Below are 24,795 nucleotides of genomic sequence, written 5' to 3'. Positions count from 1 at the left end.
TGGGCAATCTGAGGTGCTAGAGCTACAAAAGTAGCTTGGAAATTGAGTCTTCAATATTCCCTTTAATGGAATTTATAAAAGAGAAGTAGTTAAATGTCTGGCCAATGGAAACACTTAAAGAGAAGTGGCTTTGGTAAATGATAGTCTTTTATTTATTTATTTATTTTGAGATGGAGTCTTCCTCTGTTGCCCAGGCTGGAGTGCAGTGGTGTGATCTCAGCTCATTGCAACCTCTGCCTCCCAGGTTCAAGCAATTCTCCTGTCCCAGCCTCCCGAGTAGCTGGGAATACAGGCATCTGCCACCATGCCAGGCTAATTTTTGTTTGTTTTTTGTTTGTTTGTTGTTTTGAGACAGAGTTTCACTCTTGTTGCCCAGGCTGGAGTGCAATGGCGTGATCTTGGCTCACCGCAACCTCCGCCTCCCAGGTTCAAGCGATTCTCCTGCCTCAGCCTCCTGAGTAGCTGGGATTACAGGCATGCATCACCATGCCCAGGTAATTTTGTATTTTTAGTAGAGACGGGGTTTCTCCATGTTGGTCAGGGTAGTCTCGAACTCCCAACCTCAGGTGATCCACGTGCCTCAGCTTCGCAAAGTGCTAGGTAAAGATGGGGTTTCACCATGCTGGGCTCAAACTCTTGACCTCAAGTGATTCGCCTGCCTCAGCCTCCCAAAGTGCTGGGATTATAGGCATGAGCCATGGCACCCAGTAATAAATGATATTCTAACAGAGATGTCAGTAGTTTAAGTCTATGAGGAAGAAATTATTAAAGTTGACAAAATAATAGAAGTGATTGGATATATAAAACTGATAAAGCTTGAAAAGGCAGAAATCATTAGAAAAACAAAAAATATAAGAGCCTTTTGAAATAATAAAGTGCCAATTCCCACAAAAACTATTAAATTGTCTAACAAACTACATGAGAACATATTTGCTGTTTTATGATAAACATAAACAAATATAGTTAGCTTTGAGGTCTTTTAATTTACTTAATCCTGACATTTGGCCAGCTGACGTTTGCAAAGCTCTGTGGATTTTAAATAAACAAAAATTAATGAAACAGCCATTCTAACAAAGTGTTTTCAATACAGTTGATGATAGAGATACTGGCTATGTTAAAACCTAAGTATGATTAAGGCTAGAGAAATTCTAAATGTGGATGCTTTGGGGCTAGCAGAAGCTAAGAGGGAATCCAGCATTGTGAACAAGATTGTTGATGACAGAAATGATCCTCTACTTAAGCTTACCAAGAAAGCCACTGAAAGAGTTTGATGCAATTCGTATGTCAAATTGTGGCCCATTTAGCTAGTGACAGTTAACTAAACAACGTGCTAAGAATCTGTAAACATCAAAAACTGATTTGGAGATTATTACAATCATATGGTGAATAATTTATACTCTACTATATACCCTTTCATTCAAGATGTATATACATATTTGAAATGTCTTTATACATTTTATTTTTTGAGACTGAATCTCGCTCTGTCACCCAGGCTGGAGTGCAGTGGCGTGATCTCGGCTCACTCCAACCTCCACCTCCCGGGTTCAAGCAATTCTTATGCCTCAGCCTCCCGAGCAGCTGGGACTACAGGCATGTGCTACCACACCTGGCTAATTTTTGTACTAGCTGGGACTACAGGCATATGCCACCACGCCCGGCTAATTTTTGTACTTTTAGTAGAGATGGGGTTTTACCATGTTGGCCCGGCTGGTCTCGAACTCCTGGTCTCAAATGATCCACCCGCCTCGGCCTCCCAAAGTGTTGGGATTACAGGCGTGAGCCACCGTGCCCAGCCTCTTTATACATTTTAGTTTATTTCAAGAGTAAAAGAACATATATCAATTTTATTATTTCTAGCATAATTATATTCCATACCAGTCATTGAACATTTTTATTATCATTCTGCCTATGGAATGGTGGAGTAGAAATTATCAGCCCTTCTTCTGCTTTTTCCCAACTTTTATTATGTAAAATTCCAAACATACAAAAAGGTTGAAAAACTAGGACACAGACATTCACATCCCCATGAGCTACATTCAACAGTCTAACCTGTGCCATGATTGTCCTTCTCTGTACATGTGTGTTTTTTGAGCCATTTGAATATGAGCTTCAGACATCATGAGTTTTCACCCTTAAACATACAGCCTGTGTTTCTTTAAAAGCAGGAGATTCTCGGCCGGGCGCGGTGGCTCACGCCTGTAATCCCAGGACTTTGGGAGGCCGAGGCAGGTGGATCGCGAGGTCAGGAGGTTGAGACCATCCTGGCCAAAATAGTGAAACCCTGTCTCTACCAATAATACAAAAATTAGCAGGGTGTGGTGGTGCGTGCCTGTAATCCCAGCTACTCAGGAGGCTGAGGCAGGAGAACCACTTGAACCAGGGAGTCAGAGGTTGCAGTGAGCCAAGATGGTGCCATTGCGCTCCAGCCTGGCTGTCGCGAGACTCTGTCTAAAAAAAAAAAAAAATCAAGAGACTCTCTCACATATCCATACCACTATTATGCCTAAGAAAACTCACAATCATTTCCCCAAAGGTCCCATGTTTTTTCCAGATTTTTCGAAGTTGAGGCCAATTCAGGGCGCTGTTTCTTTCTTTTTATTAAAAAAAAAAAATTTTTTTTTGAGATGGAGTTTTGCTCTTGTTGCCCAGGCTGGAGTGCAGTGGTGCGATCTCAGCTCACTGCATCCTCTGCTGCCTGGGTTCAAGCGATTCTCCTGCCTCAGCCTCCACAGTAGCTGGGGTTACAGGCACCCACCACCACGCCCAGCTAATTTTTTTTTTTGTATTTTTAGTAGATATGGGGTTTCACCATGTTGGCCAGGCTGGTCTCGAACTCCTGACCTCAAGTGATCCACCCGTCTCGGCCTCCCAAAGTGCTGGGATTACAGGCACGAGCCACTGTGCCCCGCCCAAGCTTGGTTTAAAAGAAGATAGCAGGCCAGGTGCAGTGGCTCAAGCCTGTAATTCCAACACTTTGGGAGGCTGAGATGGGAGGATCACTTGAGGCTATGAGTTCAAGACCAGTGTGGGCAACATAATGAGACCCCATCTCTTAAAAAAAACTTAGCTGGGCATGGTGGCACATGCCTGTGGTCCTCAGGAGGCTGAAGCAGGAGGATTGCTTGAGCCCAGGAATTTGAGGCTGCAGTGAGCTATGATGGCACTACTGCACTGTAGCCTGGGTAATAGAGCAAAACCCTGTCTCAAAAACAAAATAAAACAAAACAAATAAACAAATTAAAAATTAAAAGAGGATAGCAATAACTTTTTAACAGAAAGGGGGTTGATTCAACAAGGGTGTCAAATAGTTGATAACCCTTGAAAGTGAGGAAGGAAAAAATTGTGGTTCTTTTACTATCTCACTTTAGTATGTCTTTTAAAACTTTCGTATACAAAATTTAAAAATGGCCATGTGGCCGGGCGCGGTGGCTCATGCCTGTAATCCCAGCACTTTGGGAGGCCAAGGCGGGTGGATCACCTGAGGTCAGGAGTTCGAGACTAGCCTGACCAACATGGTGAAACCCCGTCTCTACTAAAAATACAAAAATTAGCCGGGCGTGGTGGCGGGCGCCTGTAATCCCACCTACTCAGGAGGCTGAGGCAGGAGAATTGCTTGACCCTGGGCAGCAGAGGTTGCAGTGAGCGGAGATCACGCCACTGCACTCCAGCCTGAGCAACAGAGTGAGACTCCGTCTCAAAACAACAACAATAACAACACCACCACCACCAAAAAAACAGGTAGGATCATGACAGATTGAGAAGATGAAGAACTCTTTAAGGAGTCAAGTTGTATAAAATGCATCTCTTAACTTCTCATCTTACGTGTATGCCAGGGATTTACCCTGTGCTTAGTATTTCCAGAAAGCAGTTACTTACTGTTCCCCAATTCTACTCACACAGACATACCTTGAAACGATGGACAAAGTCTTTTTTGTTTGTTTTTGTTTTTAAGATGGAGTCTTGCTCTGTCACCCAGGCTGGAGTGCAGTGGCACAATCTCAGGTCATTGCAACCTCCACCTCCCGGACTCAAGCAATTCTCCTGCCTCACCCTCCTGAGTAGCTGGGATTACAGGCGCGCACCACCATGCCCGGCTAATTTTTTGTATTGTTAGTAGAGACGGGTTTCCCCATGTTGGCCAGGCTGGTCTTGAACTCCTGACCTCAGGTGATCCACCCACCTCAGCCTCCCAAAGTGCTGGGATTACAGGAGTGAGCCACCTCGCCCGGCCCTGGACAAGGTCTTTTGGATGATACACATTCTAGTACAGATAAATCATGCTTCAAATCAGTTGAGACCAAATGGCCCCACCCTCTACCAAGCAGAGCCCACAACTGATTGGTCACAACGAATGTCCCAAACAAGTATAGATTTACTTTGCAATAAAACACCTCCCAGACTTGTTTGTATGTGCACTGGACTAACAAGGGTCTACATCTCCTAATACTTAATACAACCTAAGGGAACACCCGGCAGGAAAGGCATTGTCCAGCATTACAGCAAGCATGACACAATCTTTCAAACAGACCGGGTGCGGTGGCTCATGCCTGTAATCCTGGCACTCTGGGAGGCCGAGGCGGGCAGATCATCTGAGGTCAGGAGTTCAAGACCAGCCTGGCCAACATATTGAAACACCGTCTCTACTAAAAATACAAAAATTAGCTGGGTGTGGTGGCACACACCTGTAGTCCCAGCTACTCAGGAGGCTGAGGCAGGGGAATCTCTTGAACCTGGGAGGTGGAGGTTGCAGTGAGCTGAGATCGCGGCACTGCCCTCCAGCCTGGGCGATGGAGCAAAACTCCATCTCAAAAAAAAAAAAAAAAACTTCTAAAGAGAGTATCTGCAGGATCAAGGAAAGCTGCCTTACATTTTAAGACTCAAAACATCCATGTTACAGTAGACACACTTTTGCCTTAAGAAAAATATAAATAATTGCTCCAGTTTTGAATTACCTTCAGTCTCTGAAGTTATTTTTTAAGTGTTTCCTGGAAATTTAGGAAATGGATTCTGAACTAAGTAAAGTCGAACAGGCTCCAGATTTATTAGAAAAAAAAAATCAGTGTCAAGGCAAAACAAAATGTGATTTTTATCTGGAAATGAGATAAAGGTTGACTGCAGGGAAGAGACGAGCATCAACAAGGTTTATCTTATACTGGCCACAGATCTGAAAAATTCAAGCGTGGTAAAGAAACCCAGAGAATCGAGAATGTTTCTAGAATCTCCTCTAAGGTGGTATGCATGAAATAACTCATGTAGTCAGTGACCACCATTTCTGAAGTCTTTTATTATACAAACATTTACTGCAGAAAAATTATAAAATGCAAACAAATGAAAGAGAGAAAAATTATCCATCTTGCCTGGGACAACACTGTTAACATTTACGTGAATATCCTTCCAGACTGTTTTCTATCAAGAACAATACTATTTTTTTTCCTCCACAAAAATCAGATCAAACATACTGTTTGGACACCTGGGTTTCTTCATTTGGTATCTTCCATGTCAAGAAATCTTTTTTTTTTTTTTTTGAGACAGTCTCGCTCCGTCGACCAGGCTGGAGTGCAGTGGTGCGATCTCAGCTCACTGCAACCTCTGCCTCCTGGGTTCAAGCAATTCTCGTGCCTCAGCCTCCCCGGTAGCTGGGATTACAGGCGTGCATTACCACACCTGGCTAATTTTTGTATTTTTAGTAGAGATGGGGTTTCACCATGTTGACCAAGCTGGTCTTGAACTCCCTACCTCAGATGATCCATCCGCCTTGGCCACCCAAAGTGCTGGGATTACAGGCGTGAGCCACCCCAAGTGACCTTGCTTTGTTTGAATAGAGACAGGGTTTCACCATGTTTTCCAGGCTGGTTTTGAACTCCTGAGCTCAAGCGATCCACCCGCCTCAGCCTCCCAAAGTGCTGGGATTAGAGGTCTGAGTCACTGCGCCCACCCATCTTTTTTATTTCTACCTTAATATTGTTAATGGCTGCAAACACTATTTCTTCTGGAGTGTATCAAAATTTAACCATTCCCCTACATTAGCATTAATGTCACTTCCAGGTTTTTGCTATTAGAAATATGCTGCAATGAGCTTTCTTTTGTTAAGCACTACATTCTGGACCACATGTCACATCTGGCATCCAGAGGGACATTTGCTTGCAGATGTTTCAAAGCCTCATTGCTAGAAGGTAGTCCTCCCCCAATCTCTAGGGATCAGAAGAACCCCAGAGTAACCCAGTTTGGAGGTACTCTATGTCCTGACTCGCCTTATTTAGGACATTACAAAAATCGCTGTATAAAAGTAAGACAGCTGATCTAAATCCCAGAACTTTTCCAAAATCTATTTGTCATAAAGTTGAAAAGTAAACATTTTCCATTATTTATTGGCACCACATTTACGAATCCATTTGCCTTCAGGCTTCCTGCCTGTCTGGTGGAATTCAGGTTTGCTATGGGAAAGGATGAAGCAGATCCTAATGAAAAAAGGAAGATCTTTCAGTAACTGAAATGAAACCTACAGCCAAGGCAAGTCAGACCCAGAACACAGTTAATAACCATTAGTTAGTTCCACTGTATTCTTATTTTACATCATCCCAGATTATTTTTATCTCCTTAAAACATAGGCTTATAAGACAATTTAAATATTTTTGTTAAAGCAGTTATGGTCAATGCCCCACTGTGTCTGCAATTAAAAAAATACGTATCCTGAATATTTGGGTATGAGATTTCTGCTTTGATTTTACTCCAGAAAAACCAATTACAACATGTAATCAGGCATTTCCAGGCTTTGAAGTAAGTAAAAAGAATCCAGTCTCCTTTTCTCCAAATTCTTAGAGATGTTGAGTAGGATCCTAAAAGGCTGTAATTCACACGTTAAAACCCTGCTGAAAACACTCTCCCCTTGCATTTTGGAAGAGAGACATCACTCAGCGGGAATGGCTCCCTCAGAATCCAGAATACACCTGTTAGCCAGCTGACCCTTGTTCTAAAGTGATCCCACAATTCCTAAGATGCTCTCAGGCAGCAAGTTCTACAGTATCTCTACTGTTAGGGAATCCAGGCTGAGGAGTCACTTTAAACAAGATCAGTTCCTCTGTGGAAGATGCCTTTTGGGGACCTCTCCAAGATTCAATTTTATACACAATTGATACTTAGTTCTGTAGGTAACATGAAATCAACAGAAATATTTTGGAAACAGAAACTCCTGAAAATCACAGAAACATTTTAGCAAGTTGTGTTCCTGGATGTCTCCTGAAACCAGCCTGACAAAAACTTTGTATGAAGATGAGTTTTAATGCCCTTTAAAAAGCTCTTTTCAGTCCATGATGAATTGCCAGAATGAGTACACTGAGGCAAGGCCTTGTCCGGTGCTGAGACAGACATTAAAACAATGGTACCATGATTAAATAAGTTTTTTATTGTCACATTTAACTGCTTTGTCAGATATACATTGTAGATTTCAGTATGGCATCAAAATAAAAATATTTTCCTGAATGTCAAAATCTGAACAGAGGAGACGGTAATGGCACTTAAAAAAAAATAAATTCACACTGGCGCTGAAGCTGCGTAGTAGGTAGCTGATAACAACTGGAACACATTTGCAGATAAAGTGGTCTGCAGCGTTTTAAATCAAATGGCAGTGGTGTAAGGCCAACATAACCAGGAGAGTAGTTAAAAGACAGACCCCCATAGAGTGGCGATCCAAAGAACGGCAGTTCTAGCATTTCATTTTCCGTCTATATGATACTGTCTAATTTAGTATTGGAACTGGAGCTCAGTGAGTAAATGTGTATCCTATAAACTGAAACTACTTTTTCAGAACCCAGATTTTAAGCCTTCAACAACTTCCTTATTCTTACAGATTTTAACTAGTTCAAAGGGAAGGCAGTTAAACTCCAAGTATTAACCTCATGGCTGTCCTTGTCATAAATGGTGGGTCTTGCTGTTTCCAAACCAGAAGCTCAACATGCTCCTGAATGTCTTAGTGGTTTCAGACGTTGTGGGCAAAACTAGAAAACAAGTAGTCATTAAATAAAAATATAAGTGCATCCCAAGAGAGTCTCTACACATACTGCAATTATTCCCCAAATGGCAACTTAAAATAAAATAAGTATGGTTATTCAGCTTGAAAATGAATCTTTATTCACCAAGATTCCCAAACAGTTTATTATTAAATGTCTTTCCTCCACAGATAAAACTAACACTAGGATTTGTCAGAAGATCTAAATGAGTTATATCTCCTCTGTATGAACTCAGCTAAACCTACCGTGTCTGGAATCTGTTCATTATAAAACTCACTCCTTCTGTTCTCCACTGCTGTGTGTCCTCCAAGATTCCAGAACAGAGACCATAAATGTGCCAGTGCAACACAGTAGTCACTGTAATCCATCAAAGAAAAAATAATTAATTTATTTTATGACGTATTTATTTGGATGATTACTTACTGGTAATTAGTATCTCTACTTTTTTTTTTTAAAGGCAACCATTTTAAGTGATAATACATATCAAGCTAGTAGAAAAAAGTTGGAAGCCCTCTCTTTTATCTCACAAAGTCATGCAGACAAGAGAAGGTATATCTGATTTGTTCTAATCAGGCTTCTTGGAATTATCAAAATTTCTTTTCTGGCAAAGATGAATTTGGCTCATCATAGAAAGAAGTTCTTTGAAGGCTGCTGCTAAACTTGTTTCCCTTTGAAAAAGTAAATTTCAAGGCATGATAGTGCAAGAGGTAAGTTTTTGATTTATAGAACATTTATAGACTAATTGTGCTTAGTCTCTAATTTCCAATTTATTTTAAAGAACAGAAACTACGCTGATAAGTTTCACTTTGCCTAAATTTACCAGTATATCCATGAATCGCACCAGAATTAGGACAATTTGATTATCTTAATGATTCTGTCATGAAACTTGCACACTGTATCCAAAGGTAAAGAGCAGCGGATGGAGGCTCCCACAAGTTCTGTGCACAAGGACTCTCTTCTCGGGAGTTAAGGTATCTGAGAAAGCAGTTCTCCCCCCAGATTAAGTTCTCAAAAACCCTCTCAGTAAGCAATGAAGAAAAACAGTGCTAGGTGGAGAGTTTCTTTTGTTTAGTTAAATCTGGGAGGTCTGAGTGTTCCTGGGGTCCTCGTCGGGATGTGCCATGGGTCGAGAATCCTTTGAATGTGAGTATTCACTATTAGAAGGCTCTGTAGGGTCAATCAAATTTTCATAATCACTGTCGTCTGAATCCTCACCACTGTCTCCAGCTGCTCTTTGGGGAGGAGGAAGGTCAGCCCCACTTCCAGGATACTTCAGTCCGGCACTGGTGGAAGCATAATTGGAAGAGCCCACAGCTTGAGGTCGAGGCATAAAGACACTCCTTTCCATGCGAGAGTGGCTCAAAGTACTTTCTTGATTGTTTGGGTGAAAATCAGAGTAAGGGGGAGGAGGATCCGAGGCCTCTGCATCTCCAAGTGTACTTCTGCCTTCAGCTGCAAACCCAGAGGACGGCATCCGAGGACTGAACGCTGGGTCCAAGCTTTCAGACGGCATCTGTCTGCTTAACACTGCCTGCTGCAATCCTGGATGAAAACAAAGAATATTCTAACACTTTCTAGATTCTCACAGCTTTTCATCTCAATGTATAACACGGCCAACCTGAATGTTCTGGAAAATAGCAGTGAGGCAATGAAGCTGACTGTCACTATTAATTATTTTACAATTGCATAGTACTTGATAATTTACAAGGTATTTCCCTACACATTAATTCATTTAAGGCCATGACAAATTTCTGAAGTGTTATAATTATCGTTATTATTACTGTTTCCATTATAGATGCAAAGAAACCAGAGTTCTGAAAGGTGAGGTGATGTGACTAAGGGGACAGCTGGAAGTGGGCCTGAGACTCAGAATGCAGGCTCTGTCGCTCCACAACCTGTGCTGGTTCCCTGGCGTGGGGCTTGCTGTGTCACACTGTGGGACCCAAAGGTTGAAATGGAAACATCCTGTACACGGAATGGAAATGTGAGATTCTTTCTTTGGCAGCCTCCTATCAAAAAACCGATTTCTTTATAGCTACCTGTCATAATATACCTCTTTCATAATACACTTATACACCTTAAATAATAATACACTTATACGCCTTTATAGCTACCTGTCATAATACACTTATATACCTTAAAACTTTAAAAACCCTGTCTTAAGTAGATACTGAACCACAGTTTTACTCTATTTTTATTAGTGTTGTGAAAGAACCCACATAATCCATATAGCCTTGAAAGTTTTTGTAGGTAACATTTCAATTTTTAAAAAATATTATAAAACTGATACACACTCATACAATATTTAGAATATTTAGAAAGGAAAAAAGAAAATAAAAGCTGCCCACAATTCCATCATCCCAATAACACTGTCAGGATGAAAAGGGCACAGGCTTTCAAGCAAAGAGAACTAAATTGTAAGTATCAGACCTCACTTCCTTGCTGTGTTACAGAAGTCACTAATCCTTGCTGAACTCCAGTTTTATTATCCAGCTTTGGGTGTTTGTCTGTACATGTATATAAAACACGGCTGACATTACCTGGTTTACACTGTTTTATATCCTAGTTTTCTGTTTGTTGAGACAGGGTCTCACTCTGTCACCCAGGCTGGAGTGCAGTGACACAATCACAGCTCACTGCAGCCTTGACCTGTCAGGCTCAGGTGATTCTCCCACCTCAGCCTCCCAAGAAGCTGGGACTAGAGGTGCATGCCACCATGCCTGGCTTTTTTTTTTTTGAAGTAGAGATGGGGTTTTGCCATGTTGCCCAGGCTGGTCTTGAACTCCTGGGCACCAGTGATCCACCTGCCTCGGCCTCCCAAAGTGCTGAGATTACAGGCGTGAGCCACCATGGTTGGCCTAGTTTTTCTTTCTTTCTTTCTTTCTTTTTTTTTTTTTTGAGACAGAGTCTTGCTCTGTTGCCCAGGCTGGAGTGCAGTGGTGTGATCTCAGCTCACTGCAACCTCTGCCTCCTGGGTTCAAACGATTCTCCCGCCTCAGCCTCCCGAGTAGCTGGGATTACAGGTGCCTGCCACCACGCCCAGCTAATTTTTGTATTTTTAGTAGAGACAGGATTTCACCATGTTGGTCAGGCTGGTCTCGAACTCCTGACCTCGTGATCCACCCGCTTTGGTCTCCCAAAGTGCTGGGATTACACGTGTGAGCCAGCATGCCCGGCCTCTTTATTTTATTTTATTTTTTTTGAGACAGTCTCACTCTGTTGCTCAGGCTGGAGTGCAGTGGTATGATCTTGGCTCACTGCAACCTCCACCTCCCAGGTTCAAGAATTCTCCTGCCTTGGCCTCCCTAGTAGCTGGGATTACAGGTGCACGCCACCATGACCAGCTAATTTTTGTATTTTTAGTACAGACGAGGTATCACCACTTTGGCCAGGCTAGTCTTGAACTCCTGACCTCAGGTGATCTGCCTGCCTCGGCCTCCCAAAGTGCTAGGATTACAGGCGTGAGCCACCGCGCCCAGCCCTATCTGTATTTCTGATTATTTCTAGAAAAATGTAACAGTAAATCAGACTGTTATATTTGCCTGGAAACATAAATTACATTTTAACTGGATTATATATATTCTTATTAAATTAGAAAAGTTTAGCCCTAACCTTATCTTTTACACTTGACATTATCTGCCATACATTTATAAATTTTACACACAGATATTAATTCTGGTGGTGTTACAGCAAACATGGCTGTTATGCTGGAATTATTAGGTTTATGGGCCTAATTCTCATTCAGTCAGTTTGTTCCTTAGCCTAATGGTGTCTATTCATCCATGGCTACCAAAACTAGACATTTAAAACCTTTACTAAGACCAGACATGAAGCTAAAAGAATATTTGGTAGCTCCTCTATGAGGCTATATTAAAACAGGACACAGACTAGGTGTGGTGACTCACACCTGTAATCCCAGCACTTTGGGAGGCTGAGGCGGGTGGATCACCTGAGGCCGAGACCAGCCTGGCCAACATGGTGAAACCCCATCTCTACTAAAAAAACAAGAAAAAAAATACAAAAATTAGCTGGGCATGGTGGCAGACACCTATAGTCCCAGCTACTCGGGAGACTGAGGCAGGAGAATCGTTTGAACCCAGGAGGTGGAGGTTGCAGTGAGCCAAGATCACGCCACTGACTCCAACCTGGGTGACAGAGGGAGATTCCGTCTAAAAAAAAAAAAAAAAAAAAAAAAAAAAAAGACAGGACACAGTGCCTACCTGCTGGACATGCCAGGGTGGTTAACTTAGTAACAACCACCACATTCACTGTAACTAGGTCCGATTGTCAATATATACACAAATCTGTATCAATAACTTCTTGGGATTTATTCTAATTTCCACTTCAGCTTTTCTACCTTTCGTCTTCTTTTTCTTCAAGTGTCAGAGAATTGAGGGGGCTACTATGAAAAACAGCACTTGCCCTCCAGAGAAGCTGAACAAGAGACTGCTCTGCCCCAGCCAGGCTAATCTGAGACTGGATGAGCGTAGAAAGAGGCACATAATTTATTGTATAGTATAATCTGATGTTTAAAACAACATTTCCCTGATACTGAATGGTAAAATTAATAAGAAACTTACTTCTTTCTTGTTCCTTTTCATTTTTCCTCTGAGTGATTTGTCTTCTTAATTTGTTCACTTCTGCCTGACAAGATTCAACAACTCGCTCACTCTTTTCAACATCTGCACACACTGCCTGAGGAAAAAAATGACAACGAGGTTAGCTTCAAGTTCAAGCACAAGGCATTCCATAAATTCAGCGCTGATTACAACTCCAGGAAAAGTCCAGATGGTTTATTGAGTTAAAAAGCAGCCACATAAGGTAGAACAAAATCATGAAAGCCCAAAAGACTAGAATTGTTATTATTCACTGATTTGCTTTAATTTTAAGATGATTATGCTATTTAGCTTATAAATTCTTGACCAGTAAGGGTAAGATAGGAAAGATCTACTCTTTCCTTTGATTAATCATTTTTATTGAAATGAAAAGGGAACTCTTGGTACCAGTTTAGCATACAAAGAAGAACAAAAGATAAGACAGGAATAAGATGCTTTCAACTTTTATTTATTACCAACATTCAAAAAATCAGATAAGACAATTTAACAGAAAATATTTTTAAAGAAAAGTTGAAAAAAGTTTCAAAGTCAAGGTTTAATAAAAGATAGCTATCTGAGACTACATCTGTGTAATTTAGCTATTTATAATCCTGAGAACACTCTATGTGATTTGGTATTTTCAAAGCAGGCCTTATTCAATCAACAATGAAATATAACAGCCACTTTTGGCCAGTGCTGATATTCTGAAAAGGGCATGGTCATGAATTCAGGACAAAAAGCTATTTTCCACTGCAAGTTCCTTCCATAGCAGAAATACCAGAAGCTTCCAGAAAGTAGGCTGGTGACCAGTGAGTCTGTATAAAGTTCCCTATTCTGGTAGGTGCACAGTGGCCCTGATTTGGAACACTAGACTGGAAATGGCTCTTGCATGCTTCTCCCTTTGCCCCAGGCTGAACTCAGCCTGTTTTCCTCTTTTTCAGTATCTGTCTTCATTCCTCTTTTTACTCACTGAGGCCTTCATCCTTTTTATTTTTATATTTTAGAGATGAGGTCTCACTCTGTCACCTGGGTTGGAGTGCAGTGGCACAATTGTAGCTCACTGCAGCTTTGACCTCCTGTACTCAAGCAATCCTCCTTCCTCAGCTTCCCAAGTAGCTGAGGACTACAGGTGCATGCTGCCACACCTGGCTAATTTTTAACTATTTTGTAGAAATAGGGTCTCATTATGTTGCCCAGGCTGATCTCGAACTCCTTGGCTCAAGCGACCCTCTTGCCTAGGCCTCCCAAAATGCTGGGATGACAGGTGTGAGCCACCATGCCGGGCCAAAGCCTTTTTCCTTAAAGTCAGGCTTTCTCCAGGTCTGGGAGAGCTTCATCAACTTTACCACTTTCTTTGCTGTACTCAAAGGCCAGTTCAAACGCTCTTTTGTTCTTAGGTTTTAGAGCAAACTACTCCTAAAAACACAGCGGGGATGACGAAAAGAATGTGGGAAAGTATTGTTAGCACCAAGCTCAGTATTTGGCTCACAGGAGATGTTTCCATTGATGTCTGTTGCATAAATGACTAGGAGTGAACAGGCTCTGCCGAGATCCTCCCACTCGATGGAGGCAGCTGGGGGCAAAGTGAGTGAACTAGGATGAAGAAGCAGAGATGCAACCAGTTATGGCTGCCTTTTGATATTGTCTCTACTTAGAATATAACTGATGGAGACAGCTATGTTCTTAGCAAGCCTTTCTACATTTTCCTAGCAAAACTACTATCACAAATGGGGCTGTAAGTATTTGAAACAGTAGTATTAACAATCTACTTCAGGCACAGAGTGAGTGAGCCAGGCTTCTGCGAGACGGCATGAATCATTATTCCACAGCTTGACTCTGTTCTGGGAAAGCAGATTCTGACTTTCGGATCCTAACTCTATTTGTCAGTTGGAAGACAATTCAAAATTAAAGTAGAATTAAAAGCTTTTGGGCAAGACAAATAAGATGAAAACTAATAAATAAATCAGTTACCTGAACTTTCTCCTGAAGTGCATTATAAACCTGATAAATCGCCCTGATGTCTTTCATCACTCCATCCTTGTCAAAAAAGTCAGTACTGGAAGACAAACAGAAAAAAGATGCCTCAAGGTTATCATAACTGCGGTGAAATGGAAAGGCATTTTTCCTGCCTCTTCCACTTTATTGTTTAAATGCTGTGACTCCGAGGTGACAGTGTTTAAGGAATAATGCCCATACCACAAGAATTACAGAAGAGAAATTTAAAAAACCCATGTTACCAAGATCATTTAAAAAATAATAAAAAGCTATGTATTTTTCAGTGACTATGTTTAGCTTTTAGAACCTCAGAAATAATACTCTATCCAAAACTTTTGTATCAATTACAAAAAATATTGTGGCAAATGATTTAAAAAATTCATAAAAGTAAACTATCTTTTCAACAAGAACAAAATTTTGATACATGCTGGTGGTATCTAGACAATTACCTTACTGTATTCTTCAATTTTAATCATATCAAACTTGGTTTTACATTTTTCCATACACCTTTTAAATGTTATTAACAAAAGAAATATTGCTGACAAAAGAAAAAACTAGCACTTTACCTTTCAACTTACCCATGTTCTTTAATCACTTTGGCATAACTCTGAGAAGTATTTGGCACTGAAGACACTTTGTACTCTTGCTGGCTAGTATTTCCTAGATTGGGAATAGCGAGTGATATCCTCTGATTATACCTATGGGAAAAATTCAGAGAGATCATGTTAAATGTACCATTCTATCATATTCAAGTGAGACTGACAGTCTAAAAAAAAAAAGGGCTGGGTGTGGTGGCTCACACCTCTAATCTCAGCACTTTGGGAGGCCGAGGCAGGCAGATCACCTGAGGTCAGGAGTTCGAGACCAACGCCAGCCTGGCCAACATGGTGAAACCCTGTCTCTACTAAAAATAAAAAAAAAATTAGCCGGGCATGGTGGTGCACACCTGTAGTCTCAGCTACTCGGGAGGCTGAGGCAGGAGAATCACTTGAACCCAGGAGGCGGAGGTTGCAATGAGCCAAGATTGTGCCACTGCACTCCAGCCTGGGCAACAGCAAGACTGTATCTCTAAATAAATAAATAAATAAATAATTTTTTAAAAAGGGCATGCGTGGTGGCATGTGCCTATAGTCCCAGCTACTTAAGAGGCTGAGGTGACAGGATCAGGAGTTCAAGGTGGCAGTGAAATATGATAGTGCCACTGTACTCCAGCCTGGTCACAGGGTAAGACCCTGTCTCCAAAATAATAGTAATAATAAAATTAAAATAAATAAAAGTAATTAACTAAAGCAAGAATGGGGCTTGGTGGTAGGAGTCTTAGTTGCTGACGTTGGTAAACCAACAGGAAGGTCTCACGGAGCACCTCCTTCTACAGACAACCCAAGGATACATGAATTAGTGATGTTTTCCCTTCTGTAAAGTAAAACCTTGCTTATCAACTCCTTGAGAGCACAGGTCATGCCTTACACATCTTTTGTATACTCACAGTGACTGACACAATGCTGAGCCTGTAAGTGCTCAAGAGATACCCACAGATTACATAATGAAATCTTATAAAAACCTTTTTAACAATTAACAATTATTTTCACTGATGTCAATTTAATTTATTCTACAACAAATAAACTTCCAGAGGGAAACCATTTTGCTGTTTACAAACAGACAACATGATCATATAATCATAGGGGTGGTTTTTTTTTTTTTTTGGTTTAACAAGTTCACGATGCAAAACCCTCGTTAACCAGCAGGTGGTTCAATTTCACAATTTTGTATTTGAAATTTATGTTTCAAAATTATAATCAGACTTCCACAGCAATAAAACTACATTTCCACATAGTGGATTATGGAGAAGCAAATGATGATTTCCAGCTATTTATTCCTTATAAGAATTTATGCATAATAAACATGTCTTGTTAATGCTTCTTGATCCAAAAACAATTTTATGTAAATAACTGACAAGAAAAATACCTTCCGTAACCACAAAAAGAGCTAAAGGGAATAATACAAGTTTTTATTTAAAGATGCATAAAGTTTTGGGAGGCCGAGGCAGGTGGATCACCTGAGGTCAGGAGTTCAAAACCAGCCTGGCCAAAATGGGCAAAACCCCGTCTCTACTAAAAATACAAAAAAATTAGCCAGCATGGTGGTGTGTGCCTGTAATCCCAGCTACTCGAGAGGCTGAGGCAAGAGAATCGCTTGAACCTGGGAAGCAGAGGTTGCAGTGAGCCGAGATTGCACCACTGCACTCCAACCTGAGTGACAGAGCTGGACTCTGTCTCAAAAAAAAAAAAAAATGCACTATAATGCACATTTTTGAAGTCACGAATCTCAGTGACTTGTACCAACATCCTTTTTTTTTTTTTTTGAGATGGATTCTTGCTCTGTTGCCAGGCAGGAGTGCAGTGGCACAATCTTGGCTCACTGCAACCTCTGCCTCCAGGTTCAAGCGATTCTTCTGCCTCAGCCTCCCGAGTAGCTGGGAATACAGCCACGTGCCACCACACCCAGCTAATTTTTGAATTTCACCATGTTGGCCAGGATGGTCTCAATCTCTTGACCTCATGATCCATCCGCCTCAGCCTTCCAAAGTGCTGGGATTACAGGCGTAAGCCACCACGCCTGGTCCCAACGTCCTTCTTATATGTGAGGCAGATGGAAAAGCAAGCTTTACCTTCTATTTGGTCTGAAGAGCACATATTCTAAAGCGTGAGTGGAATTGTTGGCAGTGGAGATGAAGCTGAAGAGAAGAAAGACGAGGTCGGGCACGCCGAGGATGCGGGTGAGCTGCTTGTGAAGAACCTGCTCTCTGTAGGACATCTGCTGCTGCGTATTGCGCCGGAATCTGTACCACCCAATGACTTTCTGAAAGAAAAGTGTGAAAAGTTGCATGAAATCTTACAAATTTAATTCTGAATGTATCCATACAAACACACATGCACAAATGTTCATAGTAGCTTTATGTGCAAAAGCCCCACCCTGGAACAACCCAAGCGTCCATGAGCAGGAGCATGGATAAACAGACTGTGCTTCAGGCATATGCTGGAATCCTACTTAGTGATAAAAAGGAACATGAATGAGTCCTAAAATAACTATCCTGAGTGAAAGAAGCTAGACACCTCCTCACTAAAAGAAGTATAGGTTATAGGATTCTATTTGTACAAAATTCTAGAAAATGAAAACTAATCTAGTGACATAAAGAAGATCAGTGGTTAACAGGAATGAGGGGAGAAGGCAGGACTGGAAAGGCACGAGGAAGCTTTTGTAGGTGAAGGAGATGCTCGTTATCTTAATATGGTGATGGTTTCACAAGTTTACACATACATCAAACTTCTAAGAGCATACATTTGAGATATGTGTTATATGTCAATTTTACCTCAACAAATCTATTTTAAAAGTTTAGCTTTTTCAGCTCTAACTATAGCATAACTAAACTGGCTAATGAAACTGTTATGCACTCTGGAAGAATACTTCTCATAATGTGATTTGTTGGTCATCAGGAAGACAGATGACTTCAGAGATATCTGAAAGACTGCTAAAGTGCAGATTCCTGGACCCCATCCCTAAAGTGCAGATTCCTGGACCCCACCCAAATCTGCAGAATCAGAACCTCTCAAGATAGAGCCAGGAATCTGAATTTAAGTAAGTTTCTGAATTTTTCTTTTGCATACTGAAATTTAAAAACATCTGTTTTCAAAACATTTAATTCTTTATTAGAAGATCAATCTTCATACAGCTTCCTTCTTTGAAACCAACTCTGAGTTAAAATCTTGTTTTAAGAAGCAAAGGTAGTTTAAATCTAATAGTGTCATATTAAAATTAAAATTAATAGTAAATTGAGATTGTTTTGACATTTTCATGTAGAAAGTAAGCCAACTTTTGCTGAGGCTAGCATTGTCACAAATATTTTCACTAATTACTACACCACTCTAAGTGAATAATGTTTTCTCCATTGAGTTCATATCATATGCAAAGAACTACAGAGAACAAAGAAATAAGCAATAGTTCCTGACTTAAGGAGTACTACTGAACATAAAACATATCTTCCCATAGATTAAAGCAATTAATTCTGATATCCCTTAAATAAAAAGAAAACCCAAGCCTTTCTCTCAGGGTATAATTTTTTTTTTTTTTTTTTTTTTGAGACAGAGTCTTGCTTTGTCACTCAGGCTAGAGTGCAGTGGCATGATCTCGGCTCACAGCAACCTCCACCTCCTGGGTTCAAGCGATTCCCCTGCTTCAGCCTCCCGAGCAGCTGGTATTACAGGCATGTGCCACCGCGCCTGGCTAATTTATTTTTAGTAGAGATGAGGTTTCACCATGTTGGCTAGGTGGGTCTTGAACTCCTGACCTCAAGTGATCCACCCGCCTCAGCCTCCTAAAGTGCTGGGATTACAGGCATTGAGCCACTGTGCCTGGCCTCAGTATATAATCTGATAGAAGAGATGTTTTGTCCGAAGTTACAGAGCTCATGAGTGACAGCCAAGATGTGGAATCAAGATGCCTGCCTGTTTCCACTGGGCAACACTAACTTTCACATTCTACACTAGACATGATGGTGGCCATAAAAAAGGTAAAAGTAGTTTTCCTTTCAAGAAAACTTGGATACAATTAGATAGAGCTATTGATGCAGGTGAACATAGCACATTTCATTCTAAGATTCAATACTCTGTACCCAACTCCTACTTGGAATGTTGGAATTACCTACTCAGCAGACCTCAGGCATGCCCTGCACTTCCCCTGCCTTCCTGCAAAGACCTGAACAGTGCTCAGCACACTGGCTGTTTTCATGAAATACTCATTGACTAGCAGAATCTTGCAAGGTGGCTATTGGATGACTAATAGTGCTTTTCAGTTATGCCAATTCGAACTATTTTATTTCATTTTTTTTCCTAGCTGCCTTTGTTTTGTTTTTTTTTTTTTTTGGTTTTTGAGATGGAGTCTTGCTCTGTGGCCCAGGCTGGAGAGCAGTGGCGCGATCTTGGCTCAAGCAACCTCCACCTCCTAGGTTCAAGCAATTCTCATGCCTCAGCCTCCTAAGTAGCTGGGATTACAGGAGTGTATTGCCACAACCAGCTGCATTTTTAGTAAAGATGGGATTTTACCATGTTGGCCAGGCTGGTCTCGAACTGCTGACCTCCAGTGATCTGCCAGCCTCGGCCTCCCAAAGTGCTGGCATTACAGGCGTGAGCCACAGTGCCTGGCATATAACAGCTTATTGATTTGATAGATGCCAACAGTTCTAAATAGATTCTCCTGGCTGGGTGTGGTGACTCACTACTGTAATCCAAGCACTTTGGGAGGCCAAGGCAGGAGGATCACTTGAGCCCAGGAGTTTGAGCCCGGCCTGAGCCAGATAGCAAGACCCCATCTCTACAAAAAATTTAAAAAGCACACGCCTGTGGTCCTAGCTACCCAGGAGGCTGAGGCAGGGGGATCACTTGAGCCCAGGAGGGCCAGGCTACAGTGAGCTGTGATCATGCCATTGTACCAGGGTGGCTAACAGAGCAAGACTCTGTCTCAAAAAACAAAACAAAACAAAACAAAACAGATTCTCCTGTCATTCTCATCAATGAAGGATGAGATGCCAAATTAATGTGTATTGGTGATATCTTTGATTCTACCTTTTAGAGCTAACGAACAAACTAGTTGCAAAGCTACTGAGAAACTAAGTCACTGATGTTGAAAAGCACATTTTGCATAGCTATATTTGGGACATGATGAAGAATTATGGATATCTTTCCCTAAAACCTTGTCTCTGCTTATGTTTCTCGGCCAATTTTTCACACAGACTATTCTATCCACAGACCACAGACTATTCTCTATGCTAGGCATTTGCTTACATTTTCATCCCAATATGGGCACGTTTATTGTCTTTAGCTTGTGTTCTTTTGGCCTTATGATGATACAAGGATGGCTGTTTCAGTTACTGTTATCAATTTCAGAGCTTCCGGAAAGCACGAATCCTCCTTACTTGCTTTGTTTGGCCTTAGCCTAAAACCTGAGGCTTGTGCAAACATTGTAAGCACGTATGGATTCTGCCAGAACAGTAATTCAGCCTGTGACCAAACTGTACCTACTGGCAGATTTTCTTATCAAAAACATTAGCCTCTATCTTAAGCCTAACATTTTACATGTACCTTGTGGGTCATATAACCACCCTTTTGAGGTAATGATAAAATTTTGTACTTATCCTAGGGGAAAAAATCCAAACAAGAATTATAAAGCTTTTTTTTGAAATCTAAGTGTTATATATCATCTCTGTCTTTGTGCTGGAAATTCAGATTTTTGAAAAAAATCCTTACAGAGTTCATACTTTATATAAGGTACCAAAGGAAATATATAGCTCCCACTCTCAACAAATATCAAGGAAATGAAACATATTTTCCAAGTAAAATGAAACAACAAACTCATATCACTAATTGCAAAGGAGAACACGAACATTTGTTTTAGCACAAAATTCTATAAAATCAAAACTATAGACCAACTTTTAACTGTTTTGAGACTCTTGGCCGCAGAAAAAGCAGTCAACTCTAGATAGCAACCAACGAGTGGCCTTCTGTGTCTCAAACAGCAAACCTCCTTAAAAATGCCAAAATTAATTTACAAATGTGTCCCTACCTACTAGTGAAAAGACTACATAATAGAGTCTTTTTTTTTTTTTTTTTGAGTTGGAGTCTTGCTCTGTCGCCCAGGCTGGAGCGCAATGATGCAATCTCAGCTCACTGCAACCTCCACCTCCCGGGTTCAAACCATTCTCCTGCCTCAGGCTTCCGAGTAGCTGGGATTACAGGCATCCGCCATCATGCCCAGCTAATTTTTGTATTTTTGTAGAGACAGGGTTTTGCCATGTCAGCCAGGCAGGTCTTGAACTCCTGACCTCAGGTGATCCATCTGCCTCGGCCTCCCAAAGTGCTGGGATTACAGGCATGAGCCACCGAGCCCGGCTGTAGAATCTTTGTTTTCAATTTATTTTCAATTATAAAATACATAGTCATTAAAAGAAAAAAAAACCTTATCAAATAAATTCTTCCTTCATCAATAGATACCTGCACCCTTTATTCACTCCCTTTCCCAAGTCTGACTAGCATCCTTTCAGATCGTTTCCTGTGTATTTGAACACCCACTCAGGCTTTTGTTGTTATATAAAATGGGCTCAAACTACAATCTGCTTTTTTTCATGTAACATAACTTAGAGATCTTTCTATGTCATTACATGAAAACCTCTCTCCTTCTTTGTAAGGACTGCTTCATCTCCCATAGTATGGAAGCGCCAACAGAACTGATTTCACTGTTCCCCACTGCTGGACATTTAGGTTGCTTTCAAAATCCCCCCTACAAAATAACCAAACAACAAACATCCTTGTGCACTGGATTGAGGCTGGACGGCTTGGTTTAAACCATGGCTCCATCATGAATTGCTGATGACCTTAAGCAAATGATTTAACCTTAGTTTTCTCAACTATAAAATGAGTAATTTGCCTCACGGGTCTGGTGCAAGGATTAAATGTATCAATACACGTGAAGCGTGCAGAACATGCCCCCACACAGAGTTCAAGTGTTCAGTTATTCCAGGTTGTTGTATTGTTGAACCCATGTAAAATTATTTTCTTGAGCCAGATTCCTAGAGGTGAAATGGAATATTCAAAATTCTTTCGGTGATTGCAAAACTGTCCTCCCAAATCTCTGTGTTAATTTAGACTCCACCAACTACTGCTTCCCCATTACCCACAGCCTTGCCAACACTGGGTATTACTAACCTTTTTACTCTTTTGCCAATCTTATGGGCAAAAAATAGTATCTCGTTTCAATTTGTGTTTCCTGATTGAGGTAGAGTATCTTTTCAGTTGTTTCTTGGCCATTTGTGGATTTCTTCTTTCTTTTTTTTTTCCAAGGCAGGGTCTCGCTCTGTCACCCAGGTGGGAGTGTGCAGTGGCGCAATCTCAGCTCACTGCAAACTCTGCCTCCCGGGTTCAAGCGATTCTCCTGCCTCAGCCTCCTGAGTACCTGGGACAAGAGGCACGTGCCACCACTCCTGGCTAATTTTTTGTATTTTTAGTAGAGACAGGGTTTCACCGTGTTAGCCAGGGTGGTCTCAATCTCCTGACCTCGTGACCCACCTGCCTCCGCCTCCCCAAGTGCTGGGATTACAGGCATGAGCCACCGCACCCAGCCGATTTCTTCTTTCTCTTGTGAATTTCCTGTTCATGGTCGTTACTCATTTTTCTCACTTAAAATTTTGAAATCTGCCAGGTGCAGTGGCTCACACCTGTAATCCCAGCACTTGGGGAGGCCGAGGTGGGCAGATCACTTGAGCCCAGGACTTTGAGACCAGCCTGAGCAACATGGCAAAACCCCGTTTGTACTAAAAACAAAAAATTAGCCAGGTGTGGTGGTGCATACCTGTAGTTGCAGCTACTTGGGGGGCTGAGGTGGGAGGATCACCTGAGCCTGGGAGGTCGAGGCTGCAGTGAGCCATGATCATGCCACTGCACTCCAGCCTGGGGGAAAACATGAGACCCCCATCTCAAAATAAATAAATACAAATAAAATAAAAATTTGAAATCTGTTTTTAAAAAATACTTCCTGGTACTTCTAATATGTAGTGAGTGCTCTAGAAAATTCTGCTCCAAAAAGAATCTTTATAGAACAAATTTTAGTTTTAGAAAGTATAATTAAGATTCATGGCCGTCTGCGGTGGCTCATGCTTGTAATCCCAACACTTTGGGAGGCCGAGGCAGGTGGATCACTTGAGTTCGAGACCAGCCTGGGCAACATGGTGAAACCCTGTCTCTACTAAAAATGTAAAAATTAGCCAGGTGTGGTGGTGCACCCCTGTAGTCCCAGCTACTCAGGAGGCTGAGGCAGAAGAACTGCTTGAACCTGGGAGGTGGAGTTTGTAGTGAGCCGAGATCGCGCCACTGCACCGCAGCCTAGGTGACAGAGCCAGACTCCATCTCAAAAAAATAAAAAACTTTAAAAAAAAGTATAATGAAGATTCATAATTTAAAATATGAAAAATGAGGAGGTAAGGTAGCATCTGAGAGATGAGGGACGGGCTGCTAAGAGATTCCAGAATGTCTGCTCCCAGGCAAATCACTAGTATGAGAGCACTGGACCACGTGATGCCTGTGGCTGCTTTAACACCCCTTCCTGGTTGGGCAGGCAGCTTGGTTAGACTACCAGGATGGAGCACCTCTTGAGTTTACTATCATGCATAAAGCTATTTGCCTTTCTTCTGACCTATGCTTCCACACTTCCTATTCTTCCTTTTATCCTTACCTGCTCCTGTACATTAGAATGGCTGTTGTTTTAATATAACTGCACTTACTCCTGACACTGTTAAACAACGGCATTTTGTTTTCTGTTTGACAAGTTGAAAACTTTTATTGGTACTTTCTTCCTCAAGAGATGGTTAGTAACGGATCTATTTTTATAGAATTAATATCCCAAGGTAAAAAAAGTAAAACCCATACATAGTATAACACGGTAAATTACCAATGGCATTATTAGACACTACTGCAACAATAAAACTTTGGTTTATTTTCAGTTGTATTCAGACTTGCTTACCTAGTCTACACATAACTAGAACATCATATGCAAATGTTGATAGAAATAATAAATACATGACCTTTTGGAAAAACACCTGTGTTCAACTTTTTTTTTTTTTCTTTTTTTTTTAAGTTGAGATGGAGCCTCGCTCTGTCTCCCAGGCTGGAGTGCAGTGGTGCAATCTTGGCTCACTGCAACCTCTGCCGCCAGGGTTCTAGCAAGTCTCATTCCTCAGCCTCCTTAGTAGCTGGTATTACAGGCATGTAATAATAATGGTATCATGCTATAAATATCTAAATTTTTTTCTATTAATACATCAAAAAATCTATGTAGGTTAACAAAACTTTTACATATTAACATGAAATCTTATTGTTCCATTTTACATTCCTGTCTGGTTTTATCTTTTCGGTGATAAGGAACGATTTCAGAATCATACTGGGCAACAAACAGAACATACCTTTCTCCGATCTTTAAGAATCCTGTCCAAACTCTCCTCATTCACTTTGCTTGCGTAGTCATAAAAACTGTTTAAGAGAAAAAAATCTTGTACTAACACCACATAGTATTGTGACATAGACGTGCTTGGCTGCATATGCCTGTGGTAACCCTAATGAAGACCTAACTTCTCACCTTACACAGGTTTACACAGGTGA

General features: G+C 41.2%; 1 protein-coding gene across 4 annotated transcripts in view; it reads right to left on the bottom strand.

Annotated features, from left to right (window-relative positions):
* Positions 1–7,382: 7,382 nt before the first annotated feature.
* The window catches only part of ABRAXAS2 (abraxas 2, BRISC complex subunit), a 34,849-nt gene continuing 17,436 nt past the window's right edge, over positions 7,383–24,795 (bottom strand). For 2 of the 4 annotated variants that reach the window (NM_032182.4, XM_047424888.1), the window contains 6 exons: positions 24,600–24,666; positions 17,265–17,455; positions 15,175–15,294; positions 14,573–14,657; positions 12,587–12,701; positions 7,383–9,548 (listed from right to left, as the gene is read on the bottom strand). In NM_032182.4, coding sequence (NP_115558.3) covers positions 9,079–9,548; positions 12,587–12,701; positions 14,573–14,657; positions 15,175–15,294; positions 17,265–17,455; positions 24,600–24,666 — 1,048 coding nt within the window. In that variant the 3' untranslated portion in view covers positions 7,383–9,078. The remainder of the gene's footprint in view (positions 9,549–12,586; positions 12,702–14,572; positions 14,658–15,174; positions 15,295–17,264; positions 17,456–24,599; positions 24,667–24,795) is intronic. The other 2 variants (XM_047424891.1, XM_047424889.1) reach the window with 1 other exon arrangement.

The sequence above is a fragment of the Homo sapiens genome, chromosome 10 (genome assembly GCF_000001405.40).
Source record: "Homo sapiens chromosome 10, GRCh38.p14 Primary Assembly".
NCBI lineage: Eukaryota > Metazoa > Chordata > Mammalia > Primates > Hominidae > Homo > Homo sapiens.
Note: the sequence above shows the minus strand (reverse complement) of the source record. Positions and strands in the feature narration are given on the sequence as shown.